This window comes from Homo sapiens, chromosome 2 (genome assembly GCF_000001405.40).
Source record: "Homo sapiens chromosome 2, GRCh38.p14 Primary Assembly".
NCBI lineage: Eukaryota > Metazoa > Chordata > Mammalia > Primates > Hominidae > Homo > Homo sapiens.
This window is the reverse complement of record NC_000002.12, coordinates 151,531,635-151,550,233: the sequence shown is the minus strand read 5'-3', so window position 1 is coordinate 151,550,233 and position 18,599 is coordinate 151,531,635. Positions and strand designations below refer to the sequence as shown.

The 18,599-nt window shown below is 39.6% G+C and overlaps 2 protein-coding genes and 1 long non-coding RNA gene across 52 annotated transcripts in view; 1 reads left to right on the top strand and 2 right to left on the bottom strand.

The window, feature by feature from the left end:
• The window catches only part of NEB (nebulin), a 249,138-nt gene that overhangs the window by 184,243 nt on the left and 46,296 nt on the right, over positions 1-18,599 (top strand). For 40 of the 47 annotated variants that reach the window (XM_011511227.3, XM_011511226.3, XM_005246613.3 and 37 more), the window contains 15 exons: positions 494-598; positions 1,819-1,926; positions 2,496-2,600; positions 2,701-2,805; positions 3,791-3,889; positions 4,236-4,346; positions 8,683-8,787; positions 9,433-9,537; positions 9,786-9,890; positions 11,990-12,094; positions 12,258-12,362; positions 12,998-13,102; positions 14,439-14,543; positions 16,688-16,792; positions 18,338-18,442. In XM_011511227.3, the coding sequence (XP_011509529.1) occupies positions 494-598; positions 1,819-1,926; positions 2,496-2,600; positions 2,701-2,805; positions 3,791-3,889; positions 4,236-4,346; positions 8,683-8,787; positions 9,433-9,537; positions 9,786-9,890; positions 11,990-12,094; positions 12,258-12,362; positions 12,998-13,102; positions 14,439-14,543; positions 16,688-16,792; positions 18,338-18,442 (1,578 nt within the window). Of the gene's footprint in view, positions 1-493; positions 599-1,818; positions 1,927-2,495; positions 2,601-2,700; positions 2,806-3,790; positions 3,890-4,235; positions 4,347-8,682; positions 8,788-9,432; positions 9,538-9,785; positions 9,891-11,989; positions 12,095-12,257; positions 12,363-12,997; positions 13,103-14,438; positions 14,544-15,914; positions 16,020-16,687; positions 16,793-18,337; positions 18,443-18,599 lie in introns of all 47 variants that reach the window. The other 7 variants (NM_004543.5, XM_017004184.2, XM_005246615.3 and 4 more) reach the window with 2 other exon arrangements.
• Positions 2,597-14,242, bottom strand: LOC124906081 (uncharacterized). The gene is made up of 3 exons (XR_007087266.1): positions 14,201-14,242; positions 6,470-12,416; positions 2,597-2,914 (listed from the first exon to the last, which is right to left on the bottom strand). It is a non-coding gene; the product is annotated as an uncharacterized LOC124906081 (long non-coding RNA).
• RIF1 (replication timing regulatory factor 1) overlaps positions 15,799-18,599 on the bottom strand; it is a 124,534-nt gene continuing 121,733 nt past the window's right edge. For 3 of the 4 annotated variants that reach the window (XR_007077544.1, XR_007077534.1, XR_007077543.1), the window contains one exon: positions 15,799-16,301. The gene's annotated coding sequence lies outside the window, so the exon portion shown is untranslated. The remainder of the gene's footprint in view (positions 16,302-18,599) is intronic. The other variant, XR_007077537.1, reaches the window with a different exon arrangement.

Below are 18,599 nucleotides of genomic sequence, written 5' to 3'. Positions count from 1 at the left end.
GTGCAACGGTGCAATCACAGCTCACTGCAATCTCAAATTCCTGGGCTCAAGTGATCCTCCCACCTTAGCTTCTTAAGTAGCTGGGACTACAGGTACACGCCACCATGCCTGGCTAATTTTAAAATTTTTTATAGAGGTGGGATCTTGCTATGTTGTCCAGGCTAGTCTCAACTTCTGACCTTAAGCAATCCTCCTGCCTTGGCCTCCCAAAGTGTTGAGATTACAGATGTCAGCTACCACACCTGGCCAGGAACTACTTTCAATAAACCATTTCACTCATTGTTCTATTTTTCCAAAACAATAGGTGAAGAGTAATCTGACTCATTTTATGACTCTTAGAATGTATTTAATTCTCTCCTGAAATCAATTCAGTGAGCATAAGTGTATTAAGTATCTAGTCAAAACTGTAACATGAGCTATATGTGATTTGTTAAGCTCAGATCAGTTACTTGATGCCCGATGTCATTTAACCTGCTCTTCCTCATTCCTGCAGAATCTATACAAAACCAGCCTGCGCACCCTGCCCACTGGATATAGACTTCCAGGTGACACTCCTCACTTCAAACACATCAAGGACACCCGTTACATGAGCAGTTATGTGAGTGGTCTCCTCCTCATTGAGATGGGTCTGAAGGTGGGGTGGCAGGAGACTCATATTAATTAATAGCCTGTTCTAATCCTCCAGTCTCACCCTCAAGGTTCAACCTGATAGAATGATGGGAGCTGGAGAGGAGAGACAGCATATTTTTGAGGGGTGCTGTGCAATTGATTCCTTCTGCAATTCAGCAGTGCCTGGGTAGCCCCATGGGTTAGAACAGAATGTTCGTGGGAGCCTTGGCTGAGGGCCCATGGCTGTCATGATGCCTCTACTTCTGCTGGCCTCACTTAGCACAGATGCACCCTGAATTATCCCAAGCCATTTATTGGAAATGCAACTTCACACACGCACTACTGAGGTGTGGTGATAGTATTGTCTTCCTTCTGCTATGTTTCACTGCAGAAGATATAACATCACCATGTGTTCCTTTGAAAATAAGACTTCTTGCCTAGCTGCTGGCTGATATTTAGCTCACTACTTATCCTCTGTGCCCAGTTCACAGAAGGCTAGAGGGGTAGTTAGGCTCTTACTACCTGTAGCTTACTCAAATGATGACCCTCATGTTGCCCTTCTCCACTTTTCACAAGTACTCAACTGGGACTTGATGCATTTACCCCATGGGGAAGGCTTAGGGAAATCGTGGCCATCCCAGTAAGTCTGGCCTGCAGACCACAATGAGCCGCTGGTGGAATAATAAGCTCTCCCTCTGTGCTACCCTTCATATTCCTGGGAATCAAACCTAGTGGCCAGAAAGGACCCAATAACCTGTGGCTCAATAATGTACTTCCAAAGTAGACAGTCACAGATTTAATAATCTAACACCTAAAGGATGTGTTAAAATGGTTGGTTAAAATCAGTCCACGAAGCTATTTGTCAGTCTTAAATACATTCTCTTGTTTCTTCTTTGTATTTTCTAATTTTCTAGCCACACTGGGGCTAAAAATAAAGATTTTTCTCTGGCATTTTGCATACCTTCCGACAAACAGATTTCACCTAGGCAAGGTCAAATTTTATTCTTTTCTTGGCCTGGTTTTATTTTCCAACACATAATTTTCAAGGCCTGGATTAATATTGAAATTTTGTCAATGACTTTTCTACATACTTAATCCTTAAAAAGAGCAATTTTTCAAATAAAGGTGACATCTCTTTTCTATTTGGAGAAATGTAATGTTGGTCCTTGTTTACCCATCATTGATCTCATTCTGACTTTGCTTTTGCAGTTCAAGTACAAAGAAGCCTATGAACACACCAAGGCATATGGGTATACACTTGGCCCCAAAGATGTTCCATTTGTCCACGTCCGGAGAGTCAACAATGTTACCAGCGAGGTACCTGAATGCTGATTCTCCAAGAGACATATTGAGTTTCAATAGCCATGGCTTTGTTTGAAATGCATTAAGAATTAATCTTATTTCAGTTGTAAACTTACATACCAGCAAAAAATGAAAAAGGTCCTTATTGTCACATTTTGATACTGATATTTCTTGGTAGTGGTTTTTTGTATTTGGTAATGCCTTGGAGAGACTCGGTTCCATAGATTATGATGCAAAACTTTTCTAAAGAAATAATTTCTTCTTTTGACATTTATATTCAAAAATCTTTAATAAGGTTGCATTTTAGTCTGACTCATGATCCTGGTTTTCTACACCAACTATTGGTTTGCATATCTGATCCTACTATGCAACCATCTGATAGAAAGTGGAAGGCTTTGTGCTCAGAATTCTTCACCTAAATGAAATAACTCTCATTTTCTCCTTTTTTCCTAATCTCAATCATTTTCTATATCCTCGATATTTCCTCCCCTCTTCCTTATGTAAAATATTTTATTCTTGATTAGTCAGTAGATGCCCTCGTCGTCCCCTACTAAATGCCTGTAATGATATTTCCTCCAACGTAGAGACTGTATCGGGAATTGTACCACAAACTGAAAGACAAGATCCATACAACTCCCGATACCCCTGAGATCCGCCAAGTCAAGAAGACACAAGAGGCTGTCAGTGAGGTGGGTATTTTCTTAGGAAAGACAGGGAGTAGAGACTAGGGATGAATGTTAATCATTCGGTCTCTAATACATATGTTTTGGGGTATTTTTTTTTCTTTAGTTGATCTACAAATCAGACTTCTTCAAGATGCAGGGCCACATGATCTCTCTGCCATACACACCCCAAGTGATCCATTGCCGCTATGTGGGAGACATCACCAGTGATGTAAGCATCTCGTAGGGGTCTTTCTGGAGTAGTCTTACCAAGACGCAGGCTTGCTTTCAGCAGTTAAAACAACCAGTGGTCTTTGAACAGCCTTTTCTGATAAGCACTTCTAAACAAAGAGTACAAGTTGGAGGTAAGACAGTGTGGGAGAAGGATGCCACAATTCTACAGCTATGGAAACAGTAATAAGAGGACCACCTGGGGAAGACAGAATTGCCATCATTCTTGATCACTCAGTGACCACCATTCTACATTCAACATGGAATCATTCCAACTCCTCACTCCCTAACTCCCTGTGTGGCCTCCATCCCAGGTCATGTTGAGTATTTTCCTCTCACTCATCCCTACTCTGACCTCATTAGCAACTTCTTGCTGCCATTTTTTTCATTCTCCTTGTATGTTCTCTCCTCCTAAAAGACCAATCCATTCAATCTGTTCTTTTCTCCAATCAATGTTATAGTAATAAAATAATAGCAGTGTTCTCTCCTCAGCTCAGGGTTAGAGACTTAAATGAAAAAAAACATGACTTATTTGGGTGCAAGTAAACTAAGAGTACAAGGTAGATGAACTGGCTGGGCACGGTGGCTCACGCCTGTAATCCCAGCACTTTGGGAGGCTGAGGTGGGCAGATCACCTGAGGTCAGGAGTTCGAGACCAGCCTGGCCAACATGGTGAAACCCTGTCTCTACTAAAAATACAAAAATTAGCCAGGCACGATGATGTACGCCTGTAATCCCAGCTACTAGGGAGGCTGAGGCAGGAGAATCGCTTGAACTCGGGAGGCGGAGGTTGCAGTCAGCCAAGATCTTGGCATTGCACTCCAGCCTGGGCAACAAGAATGAAACTCTGTCTCAAAAAAAAAAAAAAAAAAGTAGATGAACCAAAATGAAAGACACAGTAATTAAGAAGTGTTGCTACTCCATCTTTTGTGTTTCCTGACTTACATTTGCTTATGACCAGCTATATTTCTGTGTTTGCCTCTCAGATTAAATACAAAGAGGACTTGCAGGTCCTGAAGGGATTTGGCTGCTTCCTGTATGACACTCCTGACATGGTCCGCTCCCGGCACCTGCGGAAGCTCTGGGTGAGTGCACATCATCACAATGCATAATTACCCCCCGCACAGCTGGATGCCCCCATCACCAGCCTCCAGGGCTAGGCAGAAGGGATCTTAGCCTGCAGCTACTTTTAAGGGGAAATTTATCATTAACTCACTTGAGCAGATTATCACTTTAATGTGATCTGTGCCTCCTATGAAAGGTGCTGAGCTTAGTTAAATGACAATTGTTTTTGCTCCTGCCTGGGAAGACATCCAGGACACATGAAAGCCCTGCTCAGCTTACACATGCCAGACATTTGAAAGACAATATGACATGAATCCCTTAAATGATTAATCAACTTGTATTTCTGTTTTTTTTTTTTTTTTTAAGTCTAATTACCTATACACTGATAAGGCAAGGAAGATGCGAGACAAATACAAAGTGGTGCTTGACACTCCAGAATACAGAAAAGTGCAAGAACTGAAGACACATCTGAGTGAGGTAAGGACGCTTTACTTGTCATTGAAGTCAATCAAATTGACCAGTACAAACTGAATTACTCCACAAGGCTCTTAGTTCCTCTAGTGATCGCTGTTCAGGCAACTGCGGCAGGTAAAATATTTCCCCTCTTAACTGTGGAATGGCTACTATGTCTAAGCAAGTCAACCAACTGCACTTTACCTCAGTTTACTTATTTTGCCCCCTTTTGGTAAGATACGCATATTCATACTGGCTCTTCCTATGTCTAGGGCTGATGAGGGGTTTTGCATGATTTTATAGATTAGAAAGACCTTTCTTTTTCTTTTTTTTTTTGAGATGGAGTTTTGCTCTTGTTGCCCAGTCTGAAGTGCAATGGCGCAATCTCGGCTCACTGCAACCTCTGTCTCCTGGGTTCATGCGATTCTCCTGCCTCAGCCTCCAGAGTAGCTGGGATTACAGGCATGTGCCACCACGCCTGGCTAATTTTGTATTTTTAGTAGTGATGGGGTTTCTCCATGTTGGCCAGGCTGGTCTCGAACTCCCAACCTCAGGTGATCCGCCCGCCTCAGCCTTCCAAAGTACTGGAATTACAGGCGTGAGCCACCACGCCTGGCCTAGAAATAATAATTTTACTTATTATTTTTGTTGTCTCTAAACTTATTTCAAAATTTTCTTTCTCTTTAATTCCTGCTATCAGGAGCCCCGAGCATGGCAGTGCCATTGGAGAAGTCTTCAGTGGCTCCCTGCTCTGCTGCCCATTCAGTACAATTCAGACTACTTAGTTTCATTTTCATCTGGCATTGAGGCTCCTGATATATTGCAGTTATTTGTGAATAGATCTGATTCTCTCACCTAGAGTGTTGGTTCCTTGATGATTGGACCCCATGTTATTTACATGTGTCCCATAGTGCCTTGGCCATAATAGATGTGCATGTTTGCCAAAGGGCATTTCACAAGTGTAAATGGTTGCTCTTCTTATAGGTCAGTTGGCCATTCTCATTCTACTGTCACTCTGGTATTGTAGCTCCATTCATCAGTTTGTGCATTCACCATTCTGTATTGTGGCTTCACCCAGCTGAGCATTGGCTTCCAGGCCATTTCATCCTTCTCAGTAGCTCTGATGGCTGCTGATTAGGAATCTTAGGCTCTTAGCGATGCCCTGAAATACCAAATGTCACCCTCAGTGGAGGGATATGCAGCTTCCTACACTCAGTGAGCCAGAATCAGAGGATGACTAACTCTTCAGCTTTTGCAAATGCAACATTGAGCCAATTTGCTTTCCTAAAAGCTTCACTGTGTTATTTCAGCCCGCACTCGCACTCAGACTAGAACGCTTACGTTATTTTTATCCTGCTAAAGTTGTGCTTTTCCACTCTGGCTCAGTATGAGAATCACCTGTGGAATATTTAAAATCCACCCAGAGAGGGCCCTGACCCCTTGTTCCACACCAGACTGATTCTCCGTGTCTGGGCATCTATACACTTTTAGATGCTCCATAGAGATTCTGTTTAATAATATGTAGCCTGTGTTGAAAACCACCGCACCACATCTCTCCTCCAGCTACCAAGTAATAATTTAAAACAATTGGTAACTTATAGTGCTTCAGAGTAAAGATAACTCTGAAATACCTTTACTCTTTTTGGCTTTCTGGGCTCAGAATTATCTAAAACTTTAGTTTCTCCTCTTCCCAGTTCCCAGAGGGATTTTGGGCAAGTTGTGCATCAGCACTGAGGAAGAAGAATGGATATTTTTCAGTGGAGCAGTTTGCACCACATTTGCCTCTCCATAAGAATGACCCAGGCTTGATAAAATGCTGATCCAAGCCACTCCCCTGAATTTAGAAGGGTTGGGAGACAGCCTACGAATCTGTTTTTAATAAAAACCATGGAGAGCGGGGGAGGGTTAATATCAGGAAAGTTTGGAAAACATTGAGTTAGTAAAAAGTGTGATGGCCAAAAGAAGTTACCGACTTTTGAGTTTTCAATTGTATAGATTCTTGACATATACACATTTGTAGTACTAGGAAGCAGGGACGTTGTCCCAAGAAGCATAAGCAATGCATACCTAAGTACAGGGGAAATATAATACACAGTGAAATGTATAATTCTAGAAATGGCATAGAGGCCAAGCACAGTGGTACATACCTATTGTCCTAGCTACTTGGGAGGCTGAGACCAGAGGATCACTGGAGTGCAGGAGTTTGAGGCCAGCCTGGGCAATATAGTGAGACCCCGTCTCTAAAAATCAATACATAAATAAAATTTAAAAATAAGAAAAAAATTGCTTGGGAGAATTGGGTTTTAGTCCCAGATTTACTTCCAATTAGCTATATGATCTTATGTAATTCACAACTTTAGCACCCTAATTTCCTAAACTGAAGAGTTGGACTAAATGATGATTTGAGCTCCTTTTAGCCATAAAATTCTAAGAGTTGTTGATTTACTTTACTCAAAATTTAGCTTGGAAGAAGCATTAAGTTTTCATTTAGTTTATCTCTTTCAATAGTAACATGAAAAAACAGCCCCAAACACATGAGTTACATTTTGTTTTAACTTGCAGTTGTATATAATTCAGATTTAAAGAAATTGATGTGTGTGCCTGTGTTTCTTACGTTTTATCTGTTCAACTGGTATTTATATCCATGATTAGAATTTATTTGGTATCCATTTGTTCTTTCTCATTTGCCGCATTACATTAAATTCCTTCAACATTTATTAGCAACTATTATTTTTTAGGCCCTTTGTCTGAGCTCTAGTTGATGAAAGGATCGTACCACTGAACTGCTGTGCCCTAGTCTCGGAGAAGAAACAGGCATTGGTGTGATAAATGGCTTTATATAGGAACAGTCAAGACAGCATGGACTCTTGGAGTTTTCCAGGCAAATAAAAGGGAGAAGAACATTCAAGGCAGGAAAGACAGTCTGTGAAAGCAGCCATAATGAGTTCCAGTAACTGGGACTAGTTTACATAGCACATGGAGGGTGTGGAAGGATGCTGGTAAATGAAGCTATTATAGAAACATGGGTTGGAGCCAGGTTATAAAGACTTGTAGGTGTTATATAAATGACCTTGGACTTTATGAAAAATCATTGAAGAATTATTTCTATGAAGAATAGATTTGAGCATTAAGAAAATATGTGTCTCAGACTTTTGAAAGATGGGTGACTCACGTGGGGTGGTCCAATAGAGGAGTTGAGCAGGTGGTTTTGACATGTAGAAAATAAGATGGAAGGCTGAACTAGGGCAGTGGTGTTGGCAAATAATCAGATTTCAGGAATATCACAAAGTGAGGAGCCCAGGATTCATGACCATTTTGATGTAGGAATAAGGGAGGAGCCTAGGATGACTCCCCCAAGTTTCTGGCCCGAGTAACTGGGATATCAACAAGTCATTTAGCAAAATAGAGAAAATAGGAGAAGCAGCAATTTGAGATAGAGATAGAGGCAATATAAAGAATTATATATTGAACATGGTAAATCACCTAAATTCAGAAAGTTGTAGAAAACTTGGGTCTGGAGCTCAGGAAAGACACTGGATATGTAGATTTGGAAGTTATCAATCTCAAAGTGATGCTTGAGATCACAGGTACAGATGAGATCACCCCGGGAGAATGTACTGGGTGAAAGGGGCCAATCCTTCACCCCAGTTAACAGCAGCCTTTGCATGAGGGCAGAACCAGAGGAAGGCTGATGAGGAGGTCTAAAAGACAGGAAGCCACCTAGGGAAGAATGGTTGAATGGAAGCCAGAGAAGAGAGTTTTCAGGAATGAAACACTGAGCAGCTTCAGTTGCTACAGAGAAGTGTTCATGGCAATCATGAAGTTCTTGGTAGTCTCAATGAGTGTGACTTCACTGATGTGGGTAGGTGGGAGCCAAACTATGGTCTTGAGAAATTAATCAAAAGAGAGGCAAAGAAGAAACACAGGCAACTTGGCTGAGAAAAGAAGAATGAAGGCCATTGGCTAGAGACTGGAAAAGGCTTAATTAATGACAGGAGGTCTTGAGTCTGTTTGCAGGTGAAAAGAGGGGATTGGGAAAACAGGAAGGGTGGAAGATACAGAGGAGATGGAGACAGTTGCTGGAATAGGGTACTAGAAGGGACAACTGCAAATGGGACCAAGAACACAGCAGGAGTCTTGAATTTTGGACAGGCTAGAGAATGTCTCTTGTTTTGACACAAGGGAAAAAAGAAAAGGAGGGTGCAGGAGGTAAATAAAAGGTTGGTTTATTGGGAAGAAACTGCAATCGTTGCAGTGGGAGGGCTCCTGCCTTTTCTATGTAAAAGCAGTGAAGGCATCTGCAGAGAACATAACATGCCCATGAAACAGAAATGATGGTGATAACTTGGTTTATGTCTAGCTGGTCTACAGAGCTGCAGGCAAGAAGCAGAAGTCAATCTTTACTTCAGTTCCTGATACTCCTGATCTTTTAAGAGCCAAGCGAGGGCAGAAGCTTCAGAGTCAGGTAAGCTCAGAGGTTCATAAGCCTGCCACTCAGGCATCACAGGGGGTGATTATATGTGCCTGGCCTCACCTGGCCAGTGGCAGACTCACACACTTGGTTGTCCTGGCTGCAACCTCATGCCCATTAACACTGCACTTGAAGAAGCAGTTCTCTTTTGGGCCATGATAATTATGGTTGTGTTTTACTCAGGTAAGGGATGCCACATCTTCTTTCCTAAGTGTTATAAAACTTGTGTTTTGGAGTAATGAAAATAATTGCTTGATCATTCTATAGAATCTTCCTGTTATCCGCAGACAAACGAAGCTGTATTTCATGCAGTCACGCAAAAATCAGGGGAAAATATGTTGAGGGGTCTATCAGAATCTTCTCATACTTCTGTTAGCATTCTTTATCACATGGCTTTGCTTGGATCATACTCAGTGGTAGGCATATTAGATAACTGGAGTATGTGTATTTGTTTTCAAATATGAGACACAGAGAAACAAATGAACAGAAACGCATATAACAAAAAAACAAGCAAACAAACATCAGGACAGTAAGCAGATACCACCTTCCCACTGAATGGTTAGAAATGAATGAAGTGGACTGAATGCTAAATACTAAATGCTTTATCTCTATGACACCTCACTTTCTTCTATTATTCAGTATCTGTATGTTGAACTTGCCACCAAAGAGAGACCCCATCATCACGCTGGAAACCAGACCACAGCCTTGAAGCATGCTAAAGACGTGAAGGACATGGTCAGTGAGGTAAGATGGGAATTCAGCACTGAGGCACTGGGTAAAAAGAAAAATACTTTGTTAAAACCTTCCCCTGCTACCTCTGATCAGAGAGCTCATTACTATAAATGGTGCTCAGCATCATCAAAACACAAAAGGCAGAGCTATTCTCTTAAAGTGTGTAACACATTGTGCCCCTCCACAAGACCTGTAGGTGGCTTGGTTGGAAATTGGGAAGACACTTAAGCTTGTCTCTCTCTTCTGCATTTATTTCTCAGAAAAAGTACAAGATTCAATATGAAAAGATGAAAGACAAGTACACTCCGGTTCCAGATACGCCAATCCTCATCAGAGCCAAGAGGGCTTACTGGAATGCCAGTGATGTATGCATCCCTTCCTTTTTTCTTCTGTTGTGATGGGGAGAGCTGAGGTTGAAGTACCTAAGAAACATAACATATTTCAGCCATATCCATAGTTCTAAACCATGGCCTAGGAAAAAAACACACATTTTTTTAAAGAGAAAAAAAAATGCCCAAACAATACTAGTCAGGCAAAATAGCTGAGAGATACCAGAAGCCTATTCTTCTCAATTCTCTCCTGAATAAAAATATGACCCTTTCTTATAATTCTTCAGCAGCATTTTCTGGGGATACTTGACAGTTAATTTACTTATCCATAAAATTATGGTCTTGCAGTCAGCCAGACATGGATTCAAATCCTGATGCTGTTACTTGCCTGCTGTATGACTCTATATCATCTGTCTAATTTTTCCGAGTCTCTTTTCATATATGTGGAATGATAATGAGAATTGTGATAATTAAATAAAACCAAACAAGATAATGTATAAGTGTCTAGCATGCTGCTGGGCTCCTAGTTACTCAGAAAATGTTTGTTCCCTTTTTTCTCTTAATTGCATATAGATCATGTGAATGATGCATGACACAGTGGTTAAAATTAGGGGGGACAGATGTTCATTTTCCATATCACACAATCGAGGGCAAGGCTGCCTTTTAATGGTAATAATCTGTTAATAATCTGTTAATGAAGATGTGAAGTAGTGAATCCAAGGTAAATAGCCAATCCTTACGGGTTTTGTGTCTCAGGGTCCAACCAGGAATTCACTGTACCCATTACCAGAGCCACACCCCTAGAGGACTAGACATGTTGGGACTTAAACTGAGCCAAAAATCAAGCCAACTTCATGACCCCCTCAACTTAGCAACATAGCTCTAGGATTTCAAGGCATCTTAAGGTAATTGCAGTAAGCCCGAGGCAGAAAAGAGAAGGCACAGCAAATGTGAACAATATCTCAGTTCCATAATTTTGTTAGGAATTTTTATTTGGAGAAGAGAAGAGCCTACTAGTTAGAAAAAGGCAATGCCAGTTAGTGCTTAAAATGTAAGCTGGGAAAAAATCATATACTCCCCTCAAAATCTACCTTCTAGGATATTTTTAGTCTTCTTGTGACATCCTTCATCATTATCACTTCAAAGTTACTGTTGAATATTTATTTGAACCAAGCTGAATTAATATCTTACAGCGGTGGCCACACATTGAAATTGGCCCTGGGATTCATCATGCCCCACTGGACAGCACCATCCCTAGGGCTTTATCAGTAGCAATTCTGATAACTCTAATCTTTACAATAGTCTAATGTAACAAGGGTAGTATCTGGCATTTAATTCAGTATTAACCATGGCTAGCCCCACAAGTAGATCTAAGCAATCTTATGATCCATCTAAAAAACAAAATTACAAAGTCAAAGAAAAGACATCTTTCACTGTGTGTTTGCTCAGTTAACCCCAAAAGAAAAGAACTGTTTGACGTTGAAAATAGGTTGTGCAGAGAAGCACCCATCTTGTGTAGATTAGATGAATCATCTATGATATTCTCAGGTTAGAATCAGAGCTGTTTTCTCTTGAAATATCACAAAGATAAAGATTATAATGAAATGAAGTTTTAAGACTGCTTAGTGAAGAAGGCATTTTAATACTAGGAGTTAGAAGCTAAACCTTTTTCCCTTTTCCATGTACATTAGCATATCTTGGGCTCAACAATGTTGTTTGTTTGGGTTTTTTTTTTCTCTCAAATGAACTTTTGGTTTATGTTTTATATTTAAATAAACTTTCTATTTTAAGTAGTCTTAGATTTACCGAAATTGTACAGAGTTATCACATGCCCCACACCCAGGGGAACACCCATATCCTCCTGTTGCTAACACCTGTATCACCATCGTAGATTTGCCATGATCAGTGAACCAAGATTGATACATTATGATCGGTTAAACTCCATAGTTGCTTTGGATTTCATTAGTTTTCCCTAGTGTTCTTTTTCTCTTCTAGGGTCTGAAATAAGCTTTTAAATTTTTCCTAAATGTATTCATGGGAAAACCAGAGAGAAGACAAGAGAGTTCATGCTTAAAAGAGCTCAATTATTTAACTTGGTAGTTTTTTTGTAATTCATGTGTTTTTTCTCTTTCTAGCTACGCTACAAAGAAACATTTCAAAAGACCAAAGGGAAATACCACACGGTGAAAGATGCCCTAGACATTGTCTATCATCGCAAAGTCACAGATGACATCAGTAAAGTATGTCCCTAAATATTTCTACTTGTGTTGGGCTCTACAACTCACCATATACATATACATATATTTTTTAGCAACCTCCCTCTTCTGAAATTCTCCAGAAAGAAGCCATATTTACATTAACTTTGGGTAAGACTTACAGCTGTCTTTGTGTTTTTTATAACAGATAAAATACAAGGAGAACTACATGAGCCAGTTGGGTATCTGGAGGTCCATTCCTGATCGTCCAGAGCATTTCCACCACCGAGCAGTCACTGACACAGTCAGTGATGTGAGTGTTGACATCTTCTATTTTCACATATAAATTCATATTCCCATATAAGCTCTGAAATCATACATGGCATAAAAACTGAAGAAACTCTTGGCTAGATTTTAGATTTTGTGTGTGGATGTTTAAATCATAAAACTCAATTGCTAAGTGAGTGAATTTCAACTTGGGAGAAGGAAATATATATTCAAATTTATAAACCTCATTTTTCTCCTAAATGTATGATATCATATTACAGGACTGGAAGTGATATATATCATCTAGGAAATAGCCTATTTTGATCCAATGAAGTGACAACTTCATGAAGCAATTAAGACACATAACAATGCTCACTTAGAAAGTTCAGCTCTGTGTATGAAAATATAGCTGCCAAGCTAATGATATACTATCTAGGAAAGTATGCCTGTTAAATTTGAATTGCTTTAATTAGTATTAAAAATGGAAAACTTCCATATGTTATAAAACAATATACCAAAGGTCAGTATTACTGAAAATGTCTTTTAAATAATTGTTTTAATACTTTATTATTTTATATACCTCAAGGGGTAGTGCTTCTGTTTGTTCCACTTGTATAGATACTAACTTATTGCTGTTTGGAGATGGCTTCTTAGAACTCTTTGATGTTCTTCTTCTCCCAGGTAAAATATAAAGAAGACTTGACTTGGCTTAAAGGCATTGGTTGCTATGCCTATGATACCCCTGATTTCACTCTGGCTGAAAAGAACAAGACTCTCTACAGCAAGGTATATATACTCAAGGAGAATTGGCCTCATCCATTCGACATATACCTGTACCCAGAGAGAATTAGCACTGAGAAATAGTCTTTCATGTTTCCATCCCTATCATGGCTTCTAGACCTTATAGTCTGAGTACATACTTACTTGTTCACTGCTAGGAAACTCTTGGGTTTTAATCTCATTGACTGAAGGCATTTATTTGAATTTGATGAAAAATCAACTCTGTTCAACCCCTCATGATTCTTCTAGAACTCTCTCCTTATTAATATGTCTCTGGGTGGTTTCTCCTATTAAAGCTGATATGACAGCCAATATAAAGTGGGATTATTTTAATCCACAAATAATGTATGACGTGGGGCAAACCACCTAGTTTTTATAGCCTCATTTTCCTATTTACAACATAAAGCAATTCAATTCACTTGCATTTGGGTTGTACAATAGGATCCAGCAAACTTTTTCCTGAAAAATGCCAGATAGTAAATAAAACATCTAAGAAGATGTTATGGGCCAGATTCATTCTAGGGCATATTCTTCTTTGTTTGTTACAATACTGTGGAATGGTGAAACCCATTCTAATTCATGAAGCTGTTTAAAAACAGGTGGCATGCTAGCTGGGTCATACCCCACACCTGCTCTTAGAAGATTATGATTATCTGATTAATTACTGGAAAACTCTTCAAATTAATGTACTAAAAACCTTCAAGTGCACATGAAAATACTTTCAAAGTTAAATAATAATTATAATATATAGAAATAAACTAGACATTGATTTAAATTTTTGCCCAATATGGAAAATAAATCTATTTGGCATCCATTCAATGGAAGTGTTTTCGTCGTGTCCACTTTTGGGCTAGTTTTCAAGACATCTAGGCAGTTCTACCCTTTACTGTCTTGGAGGCAGAATAAACAATCAGTAAATATGTGTTAGCTTGGCTGGGTTCTGTGGCTCACACATGTAATCCCAGCACTTGGGAGGCCAAGGCAGGCGGATAGCCTGAGCCCAGGAGTTTGAGACCAGCCTGGGCAATATGACAAAACCCCATCTCTACAAAATATACGTAAATTAGCCAGGCATGGTGGTGTACAACCTGTAGTCCCACCTACTTGGGAGGCTGAGGTGGGAAGATCGATGGAGCCTGGGAGGCGGAGGTTGCAGTGAGCTATGACTGTGCCTTGCAGTCCAGCCTGGGCAACAGAGTGAAACCCTGTCTCAAAACAAACAAACGAATATGTGTTAGTTCTATGAATTAATTATCACAATTATATCATATGATAAACAGCATGTCTCATTCTTAAGATAATCATAGCCTGCTGTCAAGTAACCATGTTCTGTTTTTTCTAGTATAAGTATAAAGAAGTATTTGAAAGGACAAAGTCAGATTTCAAGTATGTTGCCGACTCTCCGATCAATAGGCATTTCAAGTATGCAACTCAATTGATGAATGAGGTATGTATGAATAAACTGCTCCAATTAAGCCTATTCAATTCCCTAAAGAAGTCTCAGAGTTTTTTTAAATTAAAGCCCAATACACAGAATGACAGGAAAGCCATCCTAAGTTTTCATTTTAACTAAAGATTTGGAAAAGACTCTATAATGTCACCATCCAACAAGCTCTGCCAAACTACAAATAAGAACAAGTGAAGGGACCGTTCAGTGGTGGGAGAGCCCCGCAAACATCAGCACCTCTGCACAAACACAGGGCAGCACAGCCCTGCGGGTGACAATACCAGGCAGGTAAAGGATTTTCTTGACTGTCAGCGGAACTCCCTTATATATTACACAATCTATATTGTGTAGATTTGGAAGACACAGAAGTTCAAGGTTAATTTAGTATCCTCTACTAAGGCACCAAAATGTCAGTTGTTAGAAGAGCTACGCTAAAGGAATAGTTGTGATTCATGCTTCAAAGATATTGCCATTGTTACTCCCACATATATTGGTGCACAGAAGTATCCATCTGCACCCAAATTTTTTCTTTCTATTTTATCCAGCCTTTCCTGTAACCATCTTTGCAATAATTTAAGTTAAATTTAGCTCAAGATGGCTGAAATAAACAAGCTATGAATTTATTTAGTTGGGATGGTTTTATAGTTAAAGTTGTATTTAATTTCCTATTTTCAGATTTTTTACAGTTTCTGTAAGTTCAAAAATTCCGTGAGAAAATTAGTACAATATTTCTAAAAATGAAAATATAGCCAATGGTATATTTACTTAAATGTATGACTTTTTTGTTTGTTGTCTTTACATTTGATTCAGTTCACTTTCAGTAGATTTCCAGACTGGACAACCCTGAAGAATTACTGCCAGTAGCTTCCTATGAATACAATCTTGATATATTTTGTTTCTATTTTTCTATTTCATGAAGAATTTCCAGGTCTCCTTTATAATCCAGTAAATTAATAGCATTAGAAGACTATTACAAATTTCCCGTGGATGTTTTAGCATCAGTTATGCTTTGAGATTCTCACAGCCTTAGTTGGTAAAGCTGTAGCTGATCAGTACCCTATTTTAAATATACCGTTAGATGCCATAAAACCTAATGTTGTTAATGGCATCATATGCAAAGATGGAAAATGTTTGGGCACAAGGAACTCTAATTTTGGTGTCATAAATCTGACCTATCCCACACTCCAGCCTTCTTCAGGTAATCTTCCTCCACTTGACTCTCTTTGCTTCCCTGTTTTTATTGTCTTGGGTATGTTGGGAGCCCGCCACTAGAGATGACATGTTCTGGCCCTCTGGAGTGTTTACCTTGAGACATTTTTGTGTAGCCTTGAAGTTGTACTCTTGCTATAATATGCTATGATGTTTGAGCAGAAAAAATACAGAGCTGATTATGAGCAGCGGAAAGATAAATACCACCTGGTAGTCGATGAGCCTAGACATCTGCTGGCTAAGACCGCAGGCGACCAGATCAGTCAGGTACTGTGATGGGGCTGGCCGGTGGCCCAGGCAGGACTGTGCTCCCAGTTTCTCATGAGATGTCATCCCGTCTGCTGCAAGGATGTCATAGGTTCTGCCTATGATATTGGGTTGTTCTGTTTCAAAGTATCTGTCTAGCCACCCAAAAAGCCCGTCAGCTATTTGAGTGTGCCAGTCCATGCTCTGTGTTCTCACTTGTGCTGTGGTGAAGATGAAAGGAAAAGCTGGGTCCTCCCATCCTTTACTCTTCTGGAGAACCTGTTTGAAAACTGCAACTGTAAACTGCAGATTGAGTTGCAAAAGCAAAAAATAAACAAACAACAACAAAAAACAAACAAAAATTAATGGAAGGAAAGAAGACATAACTCCTTACTATATATCTTTCTATTCCAAAGATGTCTTCTTTTCTATAAAGCTATTTTGGTGGTAACGTAAGTGAAACTAGCTGTATCATTCCCCATTCACAAGGACTATGAATGGCCAACCGCAAGCATTGCAGTCATTCTGCTTCACATTATAATGTATTTGATGTCTTCACCCGCACATATGTGAGTACATAAAGTGTGTATGCCTACATCTCTTCACTCAGAGGTGATTGGGATATAGAGCCGTGTTCTTTTCTGTCTTCATAAGTCTCTTTTGTGCTTCACTGCTCTTTGCATGGACAGAGAAAATATAAATCTAGTGCCAAGATGTTTCTGCAACATGGATGTAATGAAATTCTGCGTCCAGATATGTTGACTGCTCTCTACAATTCGCATATGTGGAGCCAGGTAATGTCTGATGGGATGTGAAGAAGGAGGTTTAGAAGAAGTCTTGGATGCATTCCCTTGTATGCTTTCATTGATTTCCTCTTCCACTCCCTGCCCATGCTGGCTTCATATGGTAAAGCTATGTAAATATTCATTCCTTGTAAATGATCTCTGAATGTGGCCAAAGGTGATGGGACAGTGGTCATCCGTACATCATCTGACACTTTCAGAACTCTTAATAAAATTAACTGATTCTTTCAAGTGTTATTTCCAAAGTGGTATAACATTAATTTATACTTTTCAGTATTTGCCTCAAAGAAATAGATTCCTTAGAGATTGAAGATAGTAAGTAGATTCAACAGCATGTAAAAGGTCTGAATATTTAATGTTTTCATCTAATGTGTCTCTTGTTCAATTATCACTACAACTGTTGCAGGGAGATGAGGATTACCGTGCAGCTCTATGAATATTGTATATATTCATGGCGCCTCTTGACTTTGATGCTGAATTGCTAGGTTATTTCCAGCACATCTGATCCCACACACACAGGTTAACAGTGTCTCTGATAATAATGCCTTTTTAGAAGGCCAACTGAAGCATGCACTTTCCAGCACATGCTGAAAGGTAAATTTGATGCAGCAATAAACAGTGATAATTGGTAACTACCAGACACAATGTTAGTAATAATACCATTTTTCCCAGACCAAAAAAAAAAAGTTAATTGAGCTTTCCTCTTAGCAACTTGTTTTGTCATTTTAGTTTACCATGAAATCAATATGTGAAATGAGGAGGTTAAGCTCCAATTAAGAGCTTAACCTCCTCATTTCTCCTCCTATAAATATCCTGTTTGCCTGAACTTCCTCCTTTGTCCTTATATGATCCTCAAATAGTTGTGCATGAAATTTTATGGTGCTCTCTGTATCTGTCCTGCTTAAAACAGCTTCTGTGCATGAAAATAATTATGACTTGAAAATTGCAAAAACAAATGAATTTTTTAAAATGATAAATACTTCATATATACTCATTCTTTATTTTACATCCCTGTTTCATCTTTGACATGGAAAAATGCCTTTGGAGATTGTACATGTTCAATACAATATGTTATGAGTAAAACAATATTTGTCAGACTCCAGAGAACAGGTTCTAGTCCTGCTCTGAGATTTGGTCTAAATGTGCCCTTGGGTCAGTCTCGTAACCTCTGGGGGCCTCCGAGTACATGTGTATAAAACATATTGGAACTTGGGAGGCTGAGGCAGAAGAATTGCTTGAATCTGGGAGGTGGAGGTTGCAGTGAGCCGAGATCGCACCACTGCACTCCAGCCTGGGTGACAGAGTAAGACTCCGTCTCGGAGGGAAACAAAAAAAGGAAATTATTAGTAGTAGTATCATCTGCTCACTCCATTTCACTTTTGCTATCAGACACAAATTTATAGTAAACATTTCCAGTTAGGAATTAAAGAGAAAGCTAGATACCATCTCCCACTCTGGTGTTTCAAGAGGACAATTAGATACCTTAAAGCCCACTCTACAACTTCTTAGAGCTCTTTCTTCTCTTCCACAATTTAGATCAAATACAGGAAAAACTATGAAAAATCAAAGGACAAATTTACCTCAATTGTGGATACTCCAGAACACCTGCGTACTACAAAAGTCAACAAACAAATCAGCGATGTAAGTGCAAGAAACACTGAATACCTTCTCAAACTCAGGGGGCATCTGCAAACATGGAGGGGCATTTTAAATTGTCACAAAGTCTGGGAGACTACTGCCATTTAGTGGGAGGGAGGCAGGGGTGCGAGATGTCCTGTTATGCACAGGATTCTCCTCC